At 44.1% G+C, this 26,007-nt stretch overlaps 1 protein-coding gene across 22 annotated transcripts in view, besides 1 other annotated feature; it reads right to left on the minus strand.

Moving 5' to 3' along the window:
* PLEKHA7 (pleckstrin homology domain containing A7) overlaps positions 1 to 26,007 on the minus strand; it is a 237,118-nt gene that overhangs the window by 159,877 nt on the left and 51,234 nt on the right. The window lies entirely within an intron of this gene.
* Positions 8,647 to 8,886: an enhancer, noted in NCBI's record as "active region_4482". NCBI's record gives its function as "activates an Ori minimal core promoter by ATAC-STARR-seq in GM12878 lymphoblastoid cells {active_cell/tissue: GM12878}" and the evidence as "EXISTENCE:reporter gene assay evidence [ECO:0000049][PMID:35858748]".

The raw sequence follows: 26,007 nt of genomic DNA on the forward strand, positions 1-26,007 counted from the left end.
CACGCTTGAAAGGGCCTTGATTTCCTGGGAAGACACTACAAGAATCAGTCACATAAAATCCCTGAATGCTTTGGCCTTATTCATTTGTTCTAACAAATATTTATTGAGGGTATACCATGTGCCAAGATTGTGCTGGGCACTGAGGACAATATGGCCCAAGTCTCATGAGGTATATAGTCTAGTAGAGAACACAAGCTTTCAAAATAATCATCTAAGCACATGAGAATGTACATCTATGATAAACACTACAGAAGAGAGGTATACGACCATCTGTATCATAGCCACCTAAATTGAGAAATTGGCCCAGTCTGAGGAGCCATATAATGAGGAGTGAATAAGACAAAGAAGAAAGTTGAAGAGGACCTTGTTTATAAGAAATTTAACTTAAAGAAACAAACTAGGAAGCACTTAGCTATCCCTTAACTAGGATGTTTTTCTTTTCTTTTTTTTTTTAGATGGAGTTTCACTTTTGTTGCCCAAGCTGGGGTGCAATGGCGCCATCTCAGCTCACTGCAGCCTCCACCTCCCAGGTTCAAGCGAGTCTCCTGCCTCAGCCTCCTGAGTAGCTGGGATTACAGGCATGCACCACCATGCCTGGCTAATTTTGTATTTTTAGTAGAGATGGTGTTTCTCCATGTTGGTCAGGCTGGTCTTGAACTCCCGACCTCAGGTGATCCACCCGCCTCGGCCTCCCAAAGTGTTGGGATTACAGGTGTGAGCCACAGCACTCAGACGATGTTTTTCTTTTCTAACAGTAAAATCCAGAAAGCTTACCCTGTTTCCTTCTTGTTTTGGCTGCCAGGAAGCTCCAAGTCAAATGTGCAGCTCAGCAGAAACACAGACCCTTAATGTGAGTGCCTTCGTATTCTTCCCAACCTCCTGGGTTTGTCCTTTTCCTCTTACTTATATTTTCCCTAGTCCTGATTTCAAATTCCTATTTCTATTTTATCATTGTATCTAGTGTTCATGGACCTTCAGAGGAAGGAGGCAGGATGCAAACACAAATGTTCTAATATTCTTCCTAAGGTTAAGGGGTTGAGATGGAAAGAATGAACAGGGTGCCCTTTGTGTCCCCTTGCTGGTGTGTTACCCTAGAAGCAGGGAAAGACACGTGGCTTCGTCTGCATTTATACAAATGGTGCATTCTGTTTGATTTGTGTGATCTAGAATGATGGTGCTTTTTCCCATAGCCCCTTTATCATGTATTTATGCCCCAACGAGTAGCTTTCCTTGTGCTCATTTTTTTCTCTGAAACATTTACTGGTCTATTAATACATTTAGTGAACTTACATTCTCAATATTCTAAGATAGGTGCCCCCCTCACTTTTTTTTTCAATTTTTCTCTTTTAATAAAGAAAATTCATTAAATGTGTAACTGAAGTTCTCCCTTTATACCTTTGAAAGGCATGATATATACATAAAAATCCTTAATCAGACCATACATCATGATTTTTGGATCAGAAAATAGTCACCTTCCTCCTATAGTGATTAACATTCACATGTTGGAAGGCCGAAAACAGAATAGAGATGAGAAAGAGATGTGGGAGAGACCATTTTTCAATGTGCAGTTTATCTGCACCTCATTAAAAAATAGAATGCTTTAGGAATAAAACATCCATTTCTTGTAAAAAACAACAACAACAATGTTCCTCTTCCTGGGAAAATGAAATTTTTGTAAATAATAATCAGACACAATTCAAGAAACCACAAACTGTGGCTCTTACCCTTCTCTGGTCCTTGCTTGAATAAAGCTTTGGACTGTCTTTCCCAGGAAAGAAATACACAAACACAATTTTTTACAATAATAAACACAATTTTGAATTTTAGAAGATTCAAAGATCTCCTAGAGGAATATTCATGAATTTCTTAGGCAGAATCTTCCTAAATGGAGCAAATACCTAAGGATGCCCAAGATCTTTGACAATGTGGCAAGAACATTTGAAAAAATATACTATAAGCTGGACACAGTGACTCCCTCCTATAGTCCCAGCGCTTTGGGAGGCTGAAGCAGGTAGATCATCTTGATGCCAAGAGTTCAGGACTAGGCTGGCCGACATGGTGAAACCCTGTCTCCACTAAAAATACAAAAAATTAGCCAGGTGTGGTGGTGCACGCCTATAACCCCAGCTACTTGGGAGGCTGAGGCAGGAGAATTGCTTGAGTCTGGCAGGCAGAGGTTGCAATGACCCGAGATCGTGCCACTGCACTCCAGCCTGGGTGACACAGCAAGGCTCTGTTATCTAAAGAAAAAAAATAAAAAGAAAAAATATACTATGAATATTAGCTATACAACATAGATAAAAGCTATGAAGATTAATTAAAATAATAGGAAATTTTAAAAATTTACGTATTTAGTTTTTATTGAGTCAATTTAAAGAAAAATACTACACGGGTATTGCAAAAATGCAGAGGTGAGACAGGAATGCTTAAAGTTAAAGAAATACTGCACAGGCAATGCACAGATTCTAGTTTTAAAACTATGCAGATGCTGTCACTCACAAAGTAAATCATTCAGGGCCACTGATTTTTTTCGTGTTTTCTCTCCTCATGTTCCCCAAACCAATTAGCTTGGCAACATACCCTACTCCACCCCAACAAGGCCTTCCTTCTATTAATGAGCCAGAGAATTTCTGGTTTGCTGCAAAGTTTATGAAGAGTGAAAGGGTGCCTTGGGATAGAAAATGTGTGTGGGGTGAAGGGACTGGGGACTCACCCTGAGCTCTCTGGGCAGAGGTAACAGACCAGCTGCATTTCACTGACCCCTAGATCTGATGAGACCCAGACATCACCATAGGAAGTGAGTAAGAAACCCAATGGTTCAGAGAATGGTACCACATTTGCCAAGCCAAAGCCAGGGCCACTGGTGCTGGGGGCAAGAAGGGTTAGCTGTGTGGATCTGTCTCCCTCTTCATAAACAATCAAAACTTTAACATTCCTATCTCCCCTACTGGGCTGTAACTTCCAGGGGAAGAAGTACCACTTGTGTCTTCTCAGCCCTGTGTCTCTGGCCCCTAGCACAGTGGCTGGCACATAGTAGGTACTCTGAAAAAATGGAAGAACTATTTTGGGGTAAGGGAAGAGAAGTATCTCAGATCTTTTCTTCTGCTGTTTTTTTTTTTTTTTTTTTTTTTGAGACAGAGTCTTGCTCTGTCACCCAAGGCTAGAGTGCAATGGCGTGATCTGGGCTCACTGAAACCTCTGCCTCCCAGGTTCAAGCAATTCTCCTGCCTCAGCCTCCTGAGTAGCAGGGACTACAGGCAGGTGCCACCATGCCTGGCTAATTTTTTTGTATTTTTAGTACAGACGGGGTTCCACCAGATTGGCTGCTGGTCTTGAACTCCTGACCTCAGGTGATCCGCCCGCCTCAGCCTCCTAAAGTGCTGGGATTACAGGCGTGAGCCACTGCACCTGGCCTCTTTTGTTTTTCTCTCTGGTGGCTAACAGATGCTTTGTACTAGTAGATGCTCAAGAAATGGTTCCTTTAAAAGTGAATAAACTGCCTGACATAACCAGTAAGTGTTCAAAAATGAAGATAATTACCTTTTTTTGTTTGTTTTTTTAAAGGACAAATGAATCCAACATAGTGCCTTTGTTTTTTCACTTTCCATAGGCAAGTACAGAGTGGCAAACAAAAGGGGAGGAGTGATGGAGCCCTGAATTAAAGCTGCCTGTGGCTTCCCCAGGGCTGTAGACAACAGGCCCAGTCCTCCCTAGCCAGGTGGCTCTGAAGTCATTTCTATCTATTCCATCCCCTAGGGAAGGAATTTTAGGGCTGAGTGTGACACCAAGAACCAGGTGCCCTCCACTCTCTGGATAAACGATTCAGTGAAGATGTGGCATGTCTTTCTCCAACTCAACCCTAGCACTTACCTCCAAGAAATAACTACACTCAGGAGAAGAAAAGTAGTAGAAGCGATGTCCAAGTGAGCTTCCCTTACTGGCTGGGTGAAGGAGGTGGCAAATCCCTGAGGTCACTCTTTGCTCTTCAAAAATGGGTACCCCTCCCTAGGGTGTCCTTACCCAGATGGGTCAAATGTTAATGAACAAAGGCTCCATAATCTCAGAGCTGGAAGCAATCCACAAGCTCAGGGCCCATCCCTTTATAATATCCCTGCTGACTGGTCGTCCAGCTTGGATGCCCCTAATGATGAGAGACTCATTATCTATCTTTGGGCTGCTCTATTGAACACCTGGATCTCTATTGTTTTTCTCTGAAAAGGAAGATGGTTTCCAAGGCACTCATGAACAACTTAGCTCATAGAAAGGGGCACCACAGGAGAATCTGGTTCAATTTCCCCTTCTGCCAGCCTAGTGACCTCTTAATTTAGAATCACTGACTCATAGAATTTCTAGAACTAGAAGCAATGGCAATAATAGCTAACATTTACAGAACACTTACTATGAGCCAAGTATATGCTAAGAGCTTTATAGGCATTATCCTATTTAATACAACATTTAATTCTCACACTCTCCTTTGAGCAAGGTATTATTTATTAGCTTTTTTATACATGAGGAAATGAAGCCTCAGTGAGTTTATGTAGCTTGCCCAAGATTATACCATGAAGAAGTGGGTGAGCTAGGAATAAAATCCAAAGTTTTGTACTTAAAACCTTAAAAAAACAGACTACTATGTCAAAACCTAATACATAAAGTAAAGCAGCATTATGTGTGAAGGCCCCTCAGCCAGTGCACAAGCATGGGTAATTATAAGCAACAAACACATCTTGAACTCCTCTGCTGAAAGCACCTCTCTCGAAGGGATTTCCACTGCCTTGTTCACTGCTGTACCCCAGTGTTGCTCCTGGTACATGGAAGCATAAATATTGCTAACTGAATGAATCCAGTGTTTACAGAGTGTTTACTCACGCGTAAGTTCTAAGGATCTTACATGTATTTGCTCAATTAACCCTCACCACAGGTTCTATGAAGCCCATTTTACAGACGAGAAAACTGAGGCACAGAGCACTCAAGTGGTGTTCCCAAGGTCACACAGCTAGTGATAGCGGAATTCAAATTCAAACTTGGGGGGTCAGATTTTGTGCCTCATTGACTATACAGAACCAATCCATTCCCTTAGAACAGGTCTAAGGAGAAAGACTTGAGGCCTGCAGGAGACGCCCTGAAGGCCATGTCAACAGCTAATGGCTGGGCTTCTACTATCAACCACTTCTGCATCCCTGACATCCTGCCTCTGGTTTTTCCTATTCTCCTCATAATCCTACTGTGAAGTAGACATTGGGGCCTTTAGCATCACCATTTTCAAGTTCACTGCTCTGAACTCCCAGGAATGCCACCATTTATAGAGAAACTCAATGACTAGCACCTACTTCAACTCAGCTGTTGCTGACGAGCTGACTCTGCTCTTCTCAGCCCTGCTGTGTGAGTTCCCAGCTGTGTCTCACACACTAGTATCCCAAACACCATCGGGGAAGAGAGTGAAGAAGCAGAGTGGCAGAGAGAAGGCCAAAGATGATAAGGAAGATTGTGAATGGTGCTTTCATCAGTATTTCATAGCAGTTTGATTCCAAGCCCACAGTTTAAAAATGAATTGCTGCGGCCGCTGTAAACTGCTGTCTTCTGGGCTTTGCAGCTCTGCAATAAAAATTCAATCTAAGCAAAGCAATTTCTCCACTTAGGCAACTTTCTTCTTGCCCCTCCCAGAGAGGTTAGGAGACTGTCTTTTAAAATAGTAGATAAACTGCTGAATGCCCTTTAGATTCTATTTCATAAATTTCTACTTCAATAAAACCACCAGTGACAATAAACAACAATGCTAACGCTCAAAGTTGAGTTAAATGATTCAGAATAACTGTTCTAGATGTCCACTTCAAATGTAAAATTTACCTTTTGAATTTGAAAACAGAGCAAACCCTGTAAACTTTTTAAGCTGACTCCCAAAGCTAACCTAACACTTAAAGCACCAGTATCTGATGAAATATAATGCAAGCCACATACGCAATTTCGAAACTTCTAGGTTTTTAAAAAGAGAAAATCAGTGAAATCAATTTTCATAATATATTTTACTTAACCCAAAATATTATTTCAATATGTAATCAGTATAAAAGTTATTATTGCAATACTTTACTTTTTTTTTTTCTAGTATTAAATCTCTGAACTCTGGGTGTATTTCACATTGACAGCACATCTTAACCCAGACTAGCTGAATTTCAAGTGCTCCATAGCCACATGTGGTCAGTGGCTACCTTTCTGGACAACACAAATCTAAAGCTTTCAAGTCCCAATTTAAACACCTGCACAGTCTCTCCCTCCCCCGATACAGGAAAGTACACAGACAGGGCAGAATCAGAGGCTTTTTAGCAGTGAGAACTTGCTGTTGAGCCAAAGCACAGCCTCTTACTCCTTATTTTATATCAAATCCTGTCAAATCAACCACAGGCTTCAAAGATAAATGCTATACTGGAGTGACTCTGATTAAGTCATTGGGCAAGAAAATGGGAATGGGAAGGAGGGATTATTACAATAAATAAGAGTATTGATAATCCCTTACATTTACAGAGTCCACACAGAGATGGGTACTCGCATTCATCATTTCATCAGACACTCACACCTGATAACCCTGAGACACGAAGAACCTTCGTGACCAGGAGATCATCCAGGCAGACAGAGACAGTGCCAGGAGAAACTAAGCCCAGGGCTTGGCCTCAGAGTCCCAGGATCTGTCCTTGGGTTCCCAAAGTGCATAAAAGCAAAACTCACTGGAGGCACTTATTTAAAATACAGATTTCCAGGCCCTGCCCAGATATAATAATGAAGAAGTTTAGGGGATGGGAAGAAAGGTAGAACCTCAGGGTCTGCATGTTTAAGACATTTCCCAGGTGTTTTTGATGTTGTCTCTTTGGGAATGACTGTACCAAACCACCTTGAAAGAATTAAAGTGGGCCGGGTGCGGTGGCTCACACCTGAAATCCCAGCACTTTCGGAGGCCAAGGTGGGTGGATCACCTGAGGTCAGGAGTTCGAGACTAGCCTGGCCAACATGGTGATACCCTGTCTCTACTAAAAATACAAAAGTTAGCCAGGTGTGGTGGCGGGCGCCTGTAATCCCAGCTACTTAGTAGGCTGAGGCAGGAGAATTGCTTGAACCCAGGAGGCGGAGGTTGCAGTGAGCTGAAACCATGCCATTGCACTCCAACCTAGGCAACAAGAGCAAAACTCCGTCTCCCAAAAAATAAGCCGGGCGCGGTGGCACAGACCTGTAATCCCAGCTACTCAGGAGGCTGAGACAGGAGAATCACTTGAACCCAGGAGGCGGAGGTTGCAGTGAGCTGAGATTGCACCACTGCACTCCAGCCTGGGTAACAGTGTGAAACCCTGTCTCAAAAAAAAAAAAAAATTAAAGTTCTTCTCCTTAAAAAAAAAAAAAAAAATTCAATGTGCAAAAACCCATATTTGACAAAACAGGGCACTATTCTCACCCAGGAGACCTCATTCACTGAATTGGACTGCTGGTATCATTCTTTCTATGTATGTGAGGTACATCATAACAGACAGGTTAGTAAGACTTGTTGAATTCATGCTGAGCAAATTGTTGGAGATGTTTTTCTCTGTAATTTCAGTGACTTTGCTCCAAGAATCCTGGAGAAAATTTCTTCTCTGTCTGATAATAACGTTAATAACCAATATTTATTAAGCATTTACTATGTTTCACAAATATACATTATCTCATTAATGATTGTTAATCCTTAACAACAATCTTATGAAGTTCATGTTATTGTTAAGCCTTAACCAACTCACAGATAAGAACTTTAAGGATCAGAGGAGTTCACTTTTTTTTCCCCCTTCACCCAGGCTCAAGTGCAGTGGCACCATCTCTACTCACTGCAACTTCTGCCTCCCGGGTTCAAGCAATTCTCCTGCCTCAGCCTCCCGAGTAGCTGCGTTACAAGCATGTGCCACCATGCCCAGCTAATTTTTGTATTTTTAGTAGAGTTGGGGTTTCACCATGTTGGCCAGGCTGGCCTCAAACTCCTGACCTTAAGTGATTCACCAACCTCAGCTTCCCAAAGTGCTGGAATAACAAGTGTGAGCCACCATGCCCGGCCCCAAAAGAGTTAATATTTTAATCAAGGTTAATTTGAAGTAGGTCTATATAATGCAAAAGCTTCATTATCATTATTCCTCCTAATACTAATACTGGTTTCTTTCTGGCATCTAGTGTATTCTACTAGCCAGTAATAGTGTGTTTACTGTGTTGGCCTACCCTTCACACAGGTGTCTCTCCTCTGTGATTTCACAACCCCTGTAATTGACTGTTGTCTGCCTTCCCCAAAAGACTGAGAGTTCCTTAAGGACAATACCTCTTCACAAAGTCCTGTAGTGCTTGGTAAGGGATGATGGATAGATGGACAGATGGACAGATGGATGAAAGCCTGAAGGGCAGAGAAGGAGGGCTAGATCACTGGATTTTATCAGCCAGGCAAATAGAAGCTCCATAAAGTTTCTAAGCAGGGGCAGGATAAAAACTTTGATCCAGGAATATCTGGCACTCTGTGGAGGTGAGGGGTGGTGAGGGGACATGAGGGGAAGGGAGTAGTTAGGAGGTCCTTAGCAGATCTGAAGGGAAGGAGTCCCAATGCTGGGAGGCAGTAATGCCATATTAAATGGCAGTTTCAAAGGCATCAGGGATCTGGGCCCAAGAAGTGGGCCCGCTAGGGACCTGATTAAGAACAAAAGTCCTACAAAGTCTCATACTTTCACTCTCTGGCCTCAAAGGACACTGCTGCTCTGCCTTCCCATCTAGGTAACCGGTGCTCTTTGCTTTGCTTTTAAGGTATAACACATTCCCAGCCTCAAAATCCCAGCCTGCTCATGAGGGAGCCACAGACACAAACAGGCAAGATGCCCTCCACTGTCGTTTCCTCCTCACTTAGTGGGAAGCCACTCACTTTCCCAACCTCTCCTCATGGGGGCAGCAGGAGCCTGCTGTGGCGCCACCCATGATCTTTCCCCGTCTGGGTGCTTCTGCTTCTAGCTCCTGGGCTCTTCCTGCTAGAGACCTAAAGGTGGGCAATGCTGGCCAGGAGAGATGGCGTCCATGCCAGCCCATGTCCAGCCAGGCTGAGGCTTCTGGCCTTTCTCCCAGCACCTTCTCCCAAACAATCTAGACACTGGATAACCTGCCCTAAAGAGGACTGGACACCCCACCCACCAGAACCCTCAACCCTGGGACCTCTCCCCGAACGAACGTGTGAAACCCTCCTTTCTCACTCCCTATGACCAGGCAGGATTATACCAACCTTAAAGTGGAGGGGAGGGGGGGACTTTGAAATTGGTCACAGAATATTTTTAGGGTTTGGGAATCACAGGGATTTTAGTTTGTTTATGCTGACTTTTTTGATGTGTTCAAAGAATTTCACTTTAAGTGTTTCCCAAGAGGTTTGCAAAATCAGTATGCACAGAGGATGCCACAAACCTGCCCACAAAGCCCTCCTTCAGTACCTAATTAGAATGGCAAATCAGGATATCTGAAGGCTCTAGGTTTTGAAGTGAAATTTCTGTAGAAAACAGCATAAAAGTACTCATTACTGACAGGCCTCAACTTGCTGTGGGTCTTAATGAGCTTTCTGTTAGACTCTGTTAGACTCGGGCTCCAGCAACACCCCCTCCCCCACAGAGACAACCTAGGGGAAACACTCCCTCGGCCACCATTCTGCTCGGTAAGGTATTTTCCTCTCCACTGATCAAAGTGGAAGAAGAAGGAGAAATTTTCAAGTTTAAAAACTCTCATTCCAACTTTGGAGTTTGCAGGCCCCTAATCCCCAGGTGAAAGGGTAAAGTGATTGGGTCATCTGGGCTGCTGGTTCCAAAACGCAGCTGCGCCAGCACCCCCTGGGAACCTATAAAGAATACAGAGGCCTGGGCCCCACAGGACCTGGCATTTTTAAACACCTTTCATGACCACTGACTAGGCTACTGTTTTCTCAGCTACTGGGTTGTACAATCACACCTGAAAGTATCACCTCACACATGTTAGGAGGCCATTATCAAAAAGATGAAAGATAAGTATTGGTGAGGATGTGGAGAAAAGGGAACCTTGTACACTGTTGGTGGGAATGTAAATTCGTACAGCCATTATTGAAAATGGTATAGAGGCTCCTCAAAAAATTAAAAATAGAGGCTGGGTGTGGTGGCTCACACCTGCAATCCTCATACTTTGGGAGGGCAAGGCGGGCAGATCACCTGAGGTCAGGAGTTCGAGACCAGCCTGGCCAACATGACAAAACTCCGTCTCTACTAAAAATACGAAAATTAGCCAGGCATGGTGAGAGGCACCTGTAATCCCAGCTACTCAGGAGGCTGAGGCAGGAGAATCACTTGAACCAGGGAGGTGGAGGTTGCAGTGAGCTGAGATCGCACCACTGCACTCCAGCCTGAGCGAGAGAGCGAGACTCCACCTAAAAAAAAAAAAAAGAAAGAAAGAAAGAAAGGAAAAGCAAATATGGCTGGGCGCGGTGGCTCACACTTGTAATCCCAGCACTTTGGGAGGCTGAGGCGGGTGGATTGCCTGAGCTCAGGAGTTCAAGACCACCCTGGGCAACATGGTGAAACCCCGTCTCTACTAATACACAAAAAATTAGCCGGGCTTGGTGGCGCATGCCTGTATTCCCAGCTACTTGGGAGGCTGAGGCACGAGAATTACTTGAGCCTTGGAGGCAGAGGCTGCAGTGAGCCGAGATCATGCCACTACACTCCAGCTTGGGCTATAGAGTAAGACTCCGTCTCAAAAAAAAAAAAAAAAAGAAAAAAAAGAAAAAAAGAAAAGAAAACATGCATATATATACATAATGGAACACTAGTCTGCCTTTAAAAAGAAGAAAGTCCTATCATTTGAAACAACATGGTTAAACCTGGAGGAATTTATGTTGTAAAGCAAGCAAAGCACAAAAAGACAAATACTGCATGATCTCAATTACATGTAGAGTGTAAAAAAGGTGAGCTCATAGAATCAAAGAGTAAAACGGTGGTTACCAGAGGCTGGGGTGGGTGGAGGGGTTGGGAGATGTTGCTTGAAGGTTACATAATTTTAGTTAGGCAGAAGAAATAAGTTCAAGAGATCTATTGTACCTCATGGTGAGTACAGTAAATAACAATATATCGTATACTCAAAAATTGCTGATAGATTTTAAGTGTTTGTACCACAGAATAAGTATGCGAGATATTATATACATTAAATAATATAGCCATTCCACAGCTATCAAAACATCATGCTATACACAATAAATACAATTTTTGTCAGTGAAGCACACACACACCCCTGACTGTATCAGAATGTCCTCCATTGCCTCACCCTCCATTTCCCTCACATCAGGAAGGTAAGGCCATAGTAATGATGAGGAAGAAAGAATAGATAGGTAAGATGGTATCTGCACAAATACATGTGTTCACACATACATGCACACATATATACTCGCACCCCACATGCACACACATGTGCACACACACAGAGTGAAGGAGGAACACACACACACACACACACACACAGACACCCCTCAGCTTCTCTTGCAAGTTCACAGGAGCTGGAGAAGATGAAAAGCACAGAAGCTTGAAGCAAGAAGCTCTTTTCTCACATCCCACATGGATGGAAGTACTTTAGCAGAACTTGATCATGAGCTCCAGGATTCCCACAGCCACCTCCGTGAAGCCCTTGCCCACTTTCCCGCTTCCAGGGCATCCTCAACACAGGTCCTGTGGGTTTCAGGTCTATAGAGACACCTCTCTGGCCTCCTCAGCATCATCCCTGGAGCAGGACGTCATTGCTTCTCAGCATGGCATTCAAGCCATTTAAGATGTGAATCTTTCTTCTGCTTCCCCTTGTGCCTGTCCACTCAGACAACCCAGACCCCTTGTCACTCCATACACTGGATTTCTTACCTCTAAGCCTTGCTCATGTTGACTCCATCCCCCAGAAAGCTGCCCAACTCCCACTCTCTTTACCCCCTCCCCATCTCTATTTAGCAAGCTTTATCTGTCTATCTGTTTCAGTGTAACCCCCCCATCTGCCTCCTTTGTGCTCCTCCCCACCATTCACCACTACACAGAAGCCATGCCTTCCACCTAAGCCCCATCTCCCCTGCAGGTGGGAAGGGGTGGCACAGGGTCCTGCTCACCTTCTAGGCCTCATTTAGAAGACTCTAGATGCTCAGCAGTTGAAATGCATTTATAATGTTGGTTTATTGTCCATGAAACCAGGAGTTCTCAGATTTTAAAGTGAACAACATGGGGAGGGAGCGGTGTGACTGAAAATTGTAAACTCTCAGAGATTCTGGTTCAATAAATCTGGGTATGGCCCTGAAATCTGCATTTGTAACAAAACACTCTATTATACACACATGAATCTGATGCAGATGGCCTGTGGATCACACTTAGAGAACACTGCTAAGCAATTAACTTATAACAAATGCCCCAAAATTGTTTGCTCATTCATTCATTCATTCCAATGTCTGTCTGCCCACTATATGCCTATCCTAGGTACTTGGAGGAATAAAGAAGAGAATCAAGAATTGGATCTTACCCTGAGAGTCTATCTAGCACAGGAGTTAAGACATGGATATAAATCACCAATGTAAACCAAGGCACGATACAGAAAGTAACAAATGCTGTCAGAGCATGGAGATCATGAGCTACAGAAATTCAGAGGAGGGAGAGAAACCAAACTGGAGACAAACAGATGGAGGGGAGGGGAGAGACCAGAACATCAAGCCAAGATGAGGTTCTGAGAATGGGAAACTGGTCAAGAAAGTCAAACTCTACAAGGGGCATGGGAATTAGGCCTGTCAACAACCTTTGGACTTGGTGAGTAGGAGGCCAAGCAGATCTCAGAGAGTGGAGGATGAAAACCAGACAGCAAATGGTTAAGGGGGGAGTGAAGGCAGAGTAAAGTGTGTGTGGGGCGGGGGGCGGGGGCGGAGCACAGAGAAGGGAGGGAGCAGGGAGAGGAGTCAGTGGGAGAACAGAGCGCTGAGAACCATTTTCCAAGAGCTGAGAAGGATTTTATCCTTTGCTATATACCACGCCCTAGAATCTGTGAGGCAAGAAAATAGAACCAATGGGCATGGACATGAATATCATTACGGGTGAAGTCTCAAATTAAGGCATACTAGCCTTCAAAGAAATGAAAGAAGAACACCCAGAGCAATGATGGAAAGAGATCCCAATCAGGAAGTTTCAGGGATCCCAGTTCTTCCTGGTGCAAAGCTGTCCCCTGATGTTCCAGGGAGCTGGAAACAAAGGGATAAGAAGGCTGTGCATACCCACAAAGAAGAGGGTATGTATGTCCCTACTTCCTCTCCTTTGGGAAGAGATAAGACTTTTTTTTTTTTTTTCATAAAAGGAAATCTCTGCTGGATACAGAATAGAGTCCTGACTCCTAAGCATGGTCCGCAGGCCTTCCACAATCTAATGCTCAAGTACTATCCAGCCTGATCTGCTCGCCATTGTGGCCCCACAGATATCTTAGCCTCACATGCCTACCCTTAGCCACATTCCCTCCACCTGCCCATTCCCTCAGCCTGAGCCATTCACATCTCCAAGCCAATGCACATAGGGCTGCCCTGCATGGAACAGCTTTTTCCAAACATTTTCCCAAACATTTTCCCCTCATTCAGATACCCTTGCCTAACTCCCAGGCCTTTATGCTATAGATAAAGTGTTTCCTCCCCACCTCACTTCCTCGTTCATGTTTCCCCAGCTACATCTTTCTCTGCACTGCATTTTCACGACACTCAGGAATCCTTCTACCTTGGCATTCATTGCACTGTGTAGAAAGCATCCATCGCAGGCCTGCCTCACCTTCAAAACTGTTAGCTCCCCAAGGGCCAGGAACCAGTCCCCAACATCCTTCTATTCTTTTAATCATAACATTTACTGAGTGCTTGCTACGTGTCAGACAGAATTTATCTGTATTATCTCATTTAATCCTTCATAATTTTATGAAGTTTATCATCCATATTGCAAAGACAAAAACAAAGCCTGGTAGCATTACGTATCTTACCCAGTGTTACACAGCTGGAAAGTGGAATACTGGTATAGGAACCCAGGCAGTTTCACCTTGCCCTTCAGCCTCCTCCATGCAGCATGGGGAAGGTGTTCAGTTGACATTAGTTGAGTGAATAGGGATGGCTGAGAATACTCTCCATCAGTCTAAGAGGGGAGACATCATGACGATGATGATGATGATGATGACGAAGAAGACAACAACAATAACGGTGCATTCTACCAAGCACTTACCACGAACTGGGCTCTAGGTTAAGTGATTTACCTGGATTGTCTCACTGAATCCTTATCTTATGAGATAGATATTTTTATTAGTTCCCATGTATAATGCAAATACGGAGGCCCAGAGATGATAAGTAAAAGAACTCAGATACAAACCCAGGCAATCTCACTCTGAGACCCAGACTCTTATCCACAGGGTCATGCCATCATCTAGGTAAGCTATGTAAATGAAAACGTAAAAGTTTAGAGGCAATGCAAAACCATATGGGAAAGGAGATGGTTAGAGACATTTCTGGGTTAGTAACTTGTCAGTTTTAATCAGGGAATGCCTCTTGGAAGAGCTGGTCCAGAGCTGCATATTTTAAAGAAAGGAAGAATAAATTAGGGAGCTCCAAAGGGATGAGACTGGATGATAAAGTGCTGGTGAAGGTTTATCCATAAATACTCAACCATATCTAATTACTAGCATCTCTGTGCTTCTGTTTATCTTTAGTTCCCATCCCTATGAGACAAAACAAGTATGATTTCAGAGGAAACTAAGGTCTAACTGAGGAATGGAACCTGTGAGGTATCACACAGCACCTGGACTGTGATCTGAAATAGCCTTCCACACTGCTGAGTGCTAATGCACTATATCTGTGGGGCCCAGCCTGACCCAAAATGGATACACACAGGTCCCCCAAGATCAGTTCCCCTCTTCCTCCTCAGCAAGGATTTTTAGTGAATTTTAGCTGGGCACCTTATAACCCAGAATAAAGACATTTCCATGCAACTCTGAGTAGCTGTGTGAATAAGTCCCGATGAATGGATGTAGGTAGAAGGACCATGCAGGACTTTGGGTATTCCTAAAGGGGTAACTGTGTGTGTTAAGGAAGTGAGAGGGGAAAGGGAGGTGATCCTATCCACTGTTGCCTGGAATAAAAATGACGGCAAAACTCAAGCAGCCATATTAAGCTCCTTTCTGCTAAGGAGGGCAGAAAAGCAAAACATAGAGTGCTTGGGGCCCAGAAGACTTTGTGAGACCAGCCCAGTAGTTCTGGGATGACAACCTCCAGACTTTCATGTGAAAGAGAAATCAATTTCAGTCACTGTTCTGTCAGAGTTTCTATCATTTGCAGCTAAACATAACCCCAACTAATACAAATAGGAATAGTTACTTTTAACTTAAAAAAAAAAAAATTCCCAGACTTTCGTCATAATACAGGTGGAGTGTCTTTTACCTGAAATGCTTGGAACCAGAAGTGTTTCAGATTTGGGGTTTTTGCATATTTTAGAATATCTGCAGAATACATATTGGTTAAGCATCCCTAACCCCAAAATCTGAAATCTAAAATGTTTCAATGGACATTTCCTTTGAGCACCATGTCAGTGTTCACAAAGTTCCAGGTTACAGATTTATCAACATTAGGAATGTTCAACCTGTAATTATACTTTGAGTATTTCTTGACTTTAAAAACACAAGAGAACAAAGCCTCTATGTATCCAACAAAGCTTTTTCATGAATTAACTAAATTTAAAAAATTTTTAATTTGCTTTTTCACAATGGCATCTACATATATTTGAAAATAGTATTTTTTTGACAACTGACACTACAATAATTCTGAGGTTCCCCACCAAGGGGTCAGCCCAAGATTTGGGGAACCCTTGCCCTAAATGACACAGGGAGGTCAAAGAAAAGTTTCATGGAGGCAGTGAAGTTTGAGCTATGCCTTAAAGGCTAAGGATTAAGTTGCCAGATGCACAGGAAGGGACAATGAAAGGACACTGTAGACACAGGAAACAGCAAAGGTAAAGGCATGGTGAGGATACTATTAGTTCCTATTGGATTACAATCTCAGAGACCAGTCTTAAACCTTGGTCTTTTTCACAGTAATCAGCAAAATGCCTTGTACTGATTAACCAAACGAACATAAGAAATTTTAAATGAGTATGAAGAATCCAAAGAAAGTTATAAGAAAGTTCTTTTGTGAATCCTACAGTGACTATAATCTGTAAGACTTAAAGTCCTAAGATCTTGTGCCAAAAGAAAATGAACACAATAAGAACAATTTTGTACACTATTTCCAATTTAAAAGATTAAATAAGCTAAACCAAATGATAAGGACCGGGGCTTTCCAGAATAGTAATAAAACCAAGATTCTGGATCACATGCTTGACAGGTAGATTTCATTTTATGCTCTACATATTTTTTTGCACTGAAATACACAGAAAAACTTACACAAAGTTTATATTAGAGCCCTTTATTTATTAATTCTTAATATTTGAATAAATAATTCTGTATTTAAGGGCACCACTTTCACTGCCTCCTAAAGGTAAGTATACTTGGTTGACTGGAAAGGGCAGTGTTTTTCTAGTTTGTGTTTATTTTTCTGTTCAAACATATGAAAAGTCTATTCTTCACTGTGCAGGAAAATGCAAAGCAGATTTAGAGGGTGCTTATGGGTTTCTTTCACCTCTCCCTTAAGAAACTGGTAAGACAGGAATGTGACAAATGGCACAAGGTTTATAAAACAATAATTTGCCCTTTATCATGATTAGAAAGTTGGCTGACTGAACAGAAACTTATATAAAGTTCAGAAACAGACCCCTCACACACACAGGAAGCTACAATTAGTTGGGGAGTCATATGGAAATTTCAGGGCTTCACTGGTTGAGAAGCAAACAATGCAAAGATAGAGGACACTCCACAAGGCAAGAGGGATTTGTAGGGTTTCTGGCCTTACATATTTTGTTAAACAATAGCCAAAAAATAAGATAAAATAAAAATATCACTATAAATGTTTTCTTATCCAGCACTATTGGAGCAAACAATAAAGAACCAATAATGGCCAGGCACAGTGGCTCACACCTGTAATCTCAGCACTTTGGGAGGCTGAGGCAGGAGGACTACTTGAGGCCAAGAGTTCAAGACCAGCCCTGGCAACACTGTGAGACTCCATCTCTACAAAAACAACAACAACAACAACAAAAATTTAAATTAGCCATGTGTGGTAGTGCACACCTATAGTCTCAGTTACTCAGGAGGTTGAGACAGGAGGACTGCTTGAGCCCAGGAGTTCAAGGTTATAGTGATCTATGATCACACCAACACACTCCAGCCCGGGCAACAGAGCAAGACTCTGTCTTTAAAAAAAAAAAAACAAAAACTAATAAGATAGGATGCTGGATGCTGTTAGTTATTTGAAAGGTCACAGAAATTATTCAAATAAATTTCTTTGGAAGATAGCAAAATAAAACAACAAGAAAGTTAAATATTAACGACATACTTTACAGTTGTCTCATGTTTTCTTTTTTTTTTTTTGAGACAGAGTCTCGCTCTGTCACCCAGGCTGGAGTGCAATGGCGCAATCTCGGCTCACTGCAACCTCCGCCTCCCAGGTTCAAGCAATTCTCCTGCTTCAGCCTCCGGAGTAGCTGGGATTGCAGGCACCCGCCACCACACCCGGCTAATTTTTTGTATTTTTATTAGAGACGGGGTTTCACTATGTTGGCCAGGCTGGTCTCAAACTCCTGACCTCGTGATCCGCCCGCCTCAGCCTCCCAAAGTGCTGGGATTACAGGCATGAGCCACCATGCCTGGCCTCATGCTTTATTTTCACATATACTGTTTCATTTGAAACAGTTTTTGCAAATGTCAGAGTAATTTTTAATTCCCTTATCAGATGGATTTTTTATTTACTCAAATAATTCCCAAACAACTGTTGAACGCAAAGCACTATGCTAGGCGCCCTAGAGAATACAAAGAAGAAAACTGAAACCCCCAATGAACCCTGATGCTTAGGCTGCAGCAGGCTAACAGGAGAGACTTGCTGAATGAATGAATGGTTTTTCCTGGAGTATTCCTCTGCTACCCATCAACATGGCAACTTCCTACTTATCCTTCAAGGCCCAGTTCAAATATTGCTTCCTATTGAGCATTCCCTTTTCTGTATCCCATGGAATAAACTGCCCCTGTGTCCCTAAAGTGTTCTATACAAATACTCATGAAGATACTTGTTGCCTTATGGTTGTTTACTTACCTGTTTGTCCCACTGAACTGGGCTTAAAGGACCATGACCTACTCATTTTTTATTCCCCAGCATTTAGTATAGTGCCTGGCACCCAGTAGAGGTTCAGTTAGGTGTTTGCGTTAATCAAATAAGTCCACTGCTTTCAGAATAATAGAGGAGATGATGTATATAGTTAAGCTCAGAATCGATGAAGCTTAAAGAAAATAACTGCTTAGATGGAGCTCTAAGTTTTTATTGTTTTTTCCCCTCCAGGCCATGCCAAACATGAGCCAGCAGTCCACAATGGAAGGACAGTGAAGACTACCTCCAGAAAGCTCTAGAATGGGGGCTTGGGGGAAAATGGGATTTTAAGTTCAGTTCTCAGTTATCTAAAATTAAGGCAGGCTTAGTAAAACCACCGAAGGGATCTAAAATGACTGGAGAATGGTTAGAGACCTGGTTATCTAGAAAGAGGGGGATTCTAGAGACCATACATAGTCACTTAAAAAGCAGGGGTGTGCCAGTAGTCCCAGCTACTCAGGAGAGGATCGCTTCAGCCCAGGAGTTTAAGGTAGGCCTGGGCAACACAGCAAGACCCAGTCACCAAAAACAAAAAAACAAAAAAGTTAGGGATGAGTATGGTAAGTGACCACACGCAGTAGCCTAGTTTGTGGAAATATGTTCTTTTTGTACTTTCCACAGGGACCAGGCAAAACAATCATATTCTCTTCTCATAACAGAGCAGCTCAGAGGAGTATGTACGTATGTGTGTGTACACATACGTACCTATTTTGTTTTATTTTTTAGAAACAGGGCTGTGCTATGTTGCCCAGGCTGGATTTGAACTCCTGGGCTCAAGTGATCCTTCCACCTTGGCCTCTGGATTAGCTGAGACTCTAGGCTTGTGCCACCATGCCCAGCCACATGCACGTGTTGAATACTCATTCTGTACCAGGCACTAGCAAGTGCAATTCTGAAGGGGGAAGTAATCCCCCAGGACAAGTTAACACCCACTTAGAGTATGAACCACTTGGTTCCCAGAGGGGAGAAGTACCTTTCCCAAAGTCACATAACACAGCAAAGATAGACTCTCAGTTTAGTGTTCCTCCCACCAGCTAGTTCCATGGCTCTCTCTACTGATTAACAGAACCAGCTAATGGTCCTTCAATAATCCCACGCTCACAATGCCACAGTAAGATTTAAAGATAGCTTGTATTTTAGTTATACCTAATCCAGGTCTGTGACAGGGATAAAGGGAAATCCTCATAGTCCTGGATTCCAAAGGAGGTATGAAGTCTACTCCCGCCTGGGCCCTAATCCACAATCTGTCTATAAAAGACATCTCAGCCAGCTTTATTCTGGTGCTTCCTGCACCTGGATGAGAGACAGGAAGCAGCATATCACACTTACCTGAGGTCTCTGGCGGTTATAATGTTCTGCAAGGACTGGCCAGCCCTGTCAACTCAATCTAAAGCAGTTTAACCAGTCAATGCAAAAGTTACACTGCCTTGAAGAACAGAAAGATAAAGACAGCCCAGATGATCCCAAGGAAAGTGGTAGGTTTAAGTTTTGTGTAATGTGAGGCATTATCACCTCCCCCCGTGGCTTTAGGCGCAGCATTAGTCACCTGCTAAGGAATTGTTCTGATGGATGAGATAAGACTCAGGTAAGCAACAGGGAGCCCAAAGGTTAGTGGCAAGAGCCTTTCATTCAAGGGAAGAAAAAACTAACAAAAAAGGGGTTTACTTCACAACCACTTTCAAACTAAATTCCATGGGGATATTCAAGAATACATGTTCTTGTTAATCTGAGATACAAAAAGAGGTCTAGGCATACAGATGTTCAACACATTATTACTTATGGCATTAAAAAACTGGAAACAATCTCAGTATCCAAAAACAAGGAATTGGTTAGAAAATTCTGGTATATCCATATGACAGAATCTAGCTTTATGATGAGAAGACCTCATGCTGAAGACCCGAGGCTTATTTAAATCGATCAATAAAAGCATATCCAGCAGCCATTAAAAATTATCTCATGTATGATTCCATTTATATGAAATATCCAGAGCAGATAAGTCTACAGAGACAGAAGGTAGATTGGTTGGTTTCCAGAAGCTGAGAGAAATGGGAAAAACTGGCTTAGCAGATAAGGGTTTTTACCTTGGAGTGATGGGACTATTCTGGAACTAGACAGAGATGATGGTTGTAAAACACCATGAATGTGGTGAACACCACTGATTTGTTGACTTTAAAATAGTTAATTTTATATTACATGAATTTTACCTCAATAATTTTTTTCTTTTTTTTTTTTTTTTTTTTTTTTGAGACAGAGTCTCGCCCTGTTGCCCAGGCTGGAGTGCAATGGCACAATCTCAGATCACTGTAACCTCCACCTCCTGGGTTCAAGCAATTCTCCTGCCTTGGCCTCCTGAGTAGCTGGGATTACAGGCATGCACCACCACGCCCGGCTAATTTTTTGTATCTTTAGTAGACACGGAGATTCACCATGCTGGCCAACTTGGTCTCAAACTCCTGACCTCGTGATCGGCCCACCTCGGCTTCCCAAAGTGCTGGGATTACAGGTGTGAGCCACTGTGCCTGGCCTTACCTCAATAATTTTTTAAGATCATATCTCAGCCAGGCATAGTGGCTCACGCCTGTAATCTCAGCACTTTCGGAGGCCAAGGTGGGAGGACTGCTTGAGCCCAGGAGTTCAAGACTAGCCTGGGCAACATGACAAAACCTCACCTCTACAAAAAATTTAAAAAATTAGCTGAGCATGGTGGCACACACCTGTAGTCCTACGTACTCAGGAGGCTAAGGTGGGAGGATCAATTGAGCCCGGAATGCTAAAGCTGCAGTGAGCCATAATCACACCACTGCATTCCAGCCTGGGCAACAGAGCAAGACTCTGTCTCAAAAAAATAAAAATTAAAATAAAAAAGGTCACGCTTCAGAGGAAAACTTTGTATCATAATGCAATATTTATGGGATTTTTTAAGTAAAAACAGAAAAAAGAATATCTGTGTATGCATGATTCCAAGTTGTGGTGAGGAATAATGTGCGTATATGCATGAGAAAGGAAAGACTGGCAGCGTAGACATGCAAACAGCCACAAAGAGTGATTAACTCTGGATGGAGGAATAATTAGTATAGTTTTTACTTTCCATCTCTGTGCTTTTCCTCTGTATTTCCCAAATTTTCTACGGTCTAATATGCATTATTTCTGCAATAAGAAAAAGAACTATTCTGCAAGTGCAAGATATACAGATGTATACATGGAGAATGTAAGACCTCAATAATATTTAAAATGTCCCCAAAATCTAGAAGGAAATATGCTAAAATCGTAGCTATCATAATCCTAGGATGGTAGGATTATAGGTGACTTATTTTCTACTTTGCTAATTGCTCAATTGCACAGCCGATGTAACCAGAGCAAAACATACTGAAAAGAAGAAGAAAGATGAACACTGTAACCCAGAAGCAGAATGGGCAGTACCCATTGGAAAAACAGAAGTGTCAATGCTGGGGTGGGTACAGGCGGGTGGGGGGAAAGAGGCCTAGAGCCCTACCTAAGCCAGGAAGCTCCTTTTGTTTACACTTGCTGGCTGGCCACCTGCCATTGCACCCTTTCAGACGTTAGCCCAGCTTCCCTGACACCACTGTTGTTTCGTTTTTTGTTTTTTGTTTTAACTTTTATTTTAGGTTTGTGGGTACATGTGAAGGTGTGTTACATACGTAAACACATGTCACATGGGTTTGTCGTACAGATTATTTCATCACCCAGGTATTAGGCCCAGGACCCAACAGTTATCTTTCTGCTCCCCTCTCTCCCCCTCAGGTAGACCCCAGTGTCTGTTGTTTCCTTCTTTGCTCTCATGAGTTCCCATCATTGAGCTCCCATGTCTATCCACTTTCAATCTCTCTCCATCCAGTCAGTGGGAATGGATGGAACTGTTAAAAAAACATGACAACTGGAAAGAAAATTCAAATCCTGTCTTGTGTGTGCCAGATTACCTCAGGAAACTGCAGAAAACATGTTTGTAAACGTTTAATAAAATTCACAGAGCCAAGAAATGTGCCTACATGCTTGGATTATCTTTTTTCAGGTTCAGCACCCAATGAGGGTGATGTGTGAGAGGCCAGGCCCATAGTGAATCAAGTTTGAAAAAGTGGACTAAGGAGAGCCATAAGAAGTAACATCAGGTCTGAACACCCAGGATAGTAACAGATGAGAATAATGAACCTGAATTGGCTCCGTGAAACCACAGTGGTATTGAAACCACCTTGATAGAAAGGCTGGAGCAACAAAAGGCCTACTCAGTTGAAATCTAATCTGTGTTAATTAACGCCCCTGAGAATGAAAACACTTCTTTATCAGTGTGTGGTTCCTGGCTAAAGCTCTCCCATAAAACCTGCTTCTGGAGGGGGTTGCGGGCTCCCCTCAGCAGCCCTGGAGGACTGTACCTACTTCCCCCCAGGTACCAGGAGGCAGGGCCTGCCTCCCCGGGCCAAGCCCAACTGAAGGAGCCCAGGTAAGGCTGCAGGATTGTCAGAGCTAAAACCTACTGCCCCCCAAGGGATCTACTGACAGACCAGAAGATGTGCAGTGGCAGGTCCTGCCCCCCAACCTCACTCCTGTGCCCTCCTTTCGCTGGCCCAGGCTGTGTGTGTGCACACACGCCTCCACATCCACACAGGTTCTCACGCCCTGCTCTGCTCCGGCTTCACTCTCCACTTTAGGCCACGTTCCTTTCAGGGGCCCCCTTCACTCCCGGACGCTGACCCTGTTCCCTTTTGTCCAGAATGCATAGCACCCCCACCAGCTCCCCTGCTTCCACAGCCAGGACCCAAGTCCAGGACTCAAGTCCCACCCGCCCTGGAGAAACATGCTACTGTTCCCAAGTGCCTGGCACCCAGAGCAGGAGGCATGGGCCCCAGAAGCCTGAGCTGGGCCAGGAAGTGGGAATGAGATAAGCCATCTAGATTCCAAATTCTCCCTGTATTTACTCAAACGTTGCCTGAGCTCTGAGTTGGGGGGCAGGGGAAGAAGGAGACATACACACCCCACCCACCTCCACCGCCATGGGCAGAAACAAGCACTGCAGAAGGTCACAGATGAGGCAAGCGTCGCCCTAGGGGTTCTAGGAAGGCCCTTCCCTCATCTGTGACCTTCCCATGTGAAGTATCCAGCACAGAGTCCCCTGCAACAGTAGGTGCTAACTATAAACAGGTGACTGCAGGGCAAAGAGGAGAAAGGGGAGCCACAGCCCAAGGTGATACTCAACCCCTGGGTCCCTGCTCAGCCACAGGAGAGGTGCTTAAATAATAAATAACAAACAACAACGACTGTGTAACAGCTACACCCCATGGCTGAGGCCTCCCAATGCCTTAGGGTGGGAACACTGCCATGAGGGACCCTACCTTCACCCCTAACAGACAGATGGGGACACCGAGGCACACAGGGGGCTGGCCTAGGCTGGGAAAGCAGCTCTCACTCCAGTTACCCACAACTCCTTGAACCCAAGCTCATCCTGAAACTTCCAGCTTCGTTTCACCACGTCAGCCCCTGCCTGTCTTTCCTCCACAACAAGAGACCCAGCCAGCAAGTCCCCCTCCACCCCACTCAAGGAAGGCCACTGCCCCGTGCCCAAGAGGGGGTCTCTGTCTAAAAAGCTTGATTCTCTGAAACATTCCTCCTCATTATCAGCTTTTTTCCAAATCCAAAACACAAAACCCTCAAGTTTTAGAAAAATCGGGTCATTCAGCGAAGTTTCCTCAGTGAGGTCCCCAAACCACCCTGTCCCCATCCCCAGTCCCAGCTGGTTTCTCTGCCACTCACTAGGATGACCAAGGCTCCAGAAGAAAGGACAGAATCTTGGCGACTCAGCCAGGCAGGGCTGTGGAAAGGCCGCCCAAGCGCCTTGAGGTGGTCCTAACGCCAGGCTATGCTCAGCTCATCGGAGAGTAAGACTCAAAGATGGGAAAAGTACCTGCTTCTCACACCAGCCCTGGCCTCTCAAAGGCTATGAGCCTTCCTCAGCTTCCAGCCAGGCAGCCAAGAGCTCCAGAGAGTTTACAATTACGGGCTACAGGCAACCGGAGAAGTGGCCCAGAAAAGAGGCCCTCCAACCCTGCACCCACCCCTGGCTGTGCCTGGAGGGTGACATCCTGAGCTGTTATTCTCCCCTGGGCAGCATCATCCCCAGAAGGGGACAGAGTTGTTTCAACCTTGGTCCTCAGACACACCCTGGCATCATCAAAGTGAGAGACAGGATTCTGGCAGGGCCCGGTGTGTGGAAGGTCACAGCAGACCCATGGCATCTTCCAGAGAGGGGGTGAGAAGGCCATGGACTTTTGAGTCAGATGGTCCTGAGATGAAATTCAGGTTATGCCATTAATTCGTGATTTAACTTAGGCAAGTCTTTCACTTCTCCGTGCTTCAGTTTTCTCACCTGTAAATTAGGATCAGTACCACCTGCCTCATTGGCTGCTGTGAGATAACATGAGTAAAACACCTATGGAAGGGTCTGGCACATAGTAAGTGCATGACGAATATGTCCTGTGGGGCCTGACCACAACACACCAGGTATAAAGCAGGAGCCTACGTTGCAAAATCAAGCTGATCCCACTCCCACTTCAGAAGGGAGGAAATGGGGGGAAGCAAGTCAACCTTTAATCGATTCTTTTTCCTAAAACAGTGCCCTGTGCTTCAGATGAGGAGGCAGCCCTGTGGCTTTGGCAGAAATGACTGATGTACATGGTGGCAAAGTGCTAGAGACAGACTGCCTGGATTCCAATCCCATCTTTGCCTCTCGCTGGCTGTGTGGCCATGAGGGGGCTAATTAGCCTATGTTTTCTCACTCTGAATGGGCATTATCACAGTGTCCACCTGATGGGGTGGTTGTGAGATCACTTGTGTAAAAAGACTCTTGGCGACCAGTCAATGAGCAGTAAGTGCCCAATATCTTTCCACCGTGGTTATTATCTCCACTGTGCAACACTCACGACCCAAAACCACCTTAAGTCTTCGCTCCCTGAGAACTCAAGTTCTGCCTGTAGCCACAAGCACCTTATTTTTGGATACAGTCTCATACCATTGCCCAGGCTGGAGTGTAGCAGTATGATCTCAGCTCACTGCAACCTGTATCTCCTGGGTTCAAGCGATTCTCCTGCCTCAGCCTCCTGAGTGGCTGGGACTACAGGTGCATACCACCATGCCCAGCTAATTTTTATATTTTTAGTAGAGATGTGGTTTCACCATGTTGGCCAGGCTGGTCTTGAACTCCTGACCTCAAGTGATCCACCCACCTCAGCCTCTGAAAGTGCTGGGATTACAGGCATGAGCCACTGCACCTGGCCCACAAGCACCTTGATGTGGTCCTTTGGCAGCCTCCCCTGAACTTGTGTTTCTAAGAATGTCTCATGTACCCACATCTCCCAGAAGCAACAACAACAACAACAAAAAGAAAATCACAGTGCTCAAGATATGGGGCCTGGCTACTGGTGCCTTGGGAACTAGATGGCACTGAGTGGAGCTCTGAGTTAAAGATACAAGAGAAGCAAATGCATACTTGTTCCTCCCACTGCAAGACAATCAGAGTGACGAGGAGCAAGGCAGCCACTGCAACCCTCTGGATTCAGCCTCCTTTTCTGTAGATGAGGTGGCCTTCCACTCCTTGACCCAGGATGTATCACGGAAAGACAAGGCCTTGTACACAGTGCAGTCCTCCTAGAGGAGGGCCATGCCACTTCTGTGCAGCTCCAGGACTGGGACAGGGA

The sequence above is a fragment of the Homo sapiens genome, chromosome 11 (assembly GCF_000001405.40).
Source record: "Homo sapiens chromosome 11, GRCh38.p14 Primary Assembly".
In the NCBI taxonomy this organism is placed as follows: Eukaryota; Metazoa; Chordata; class Mammalia; order Primates; family Hominidae; genus Homo; species Homo sapiens.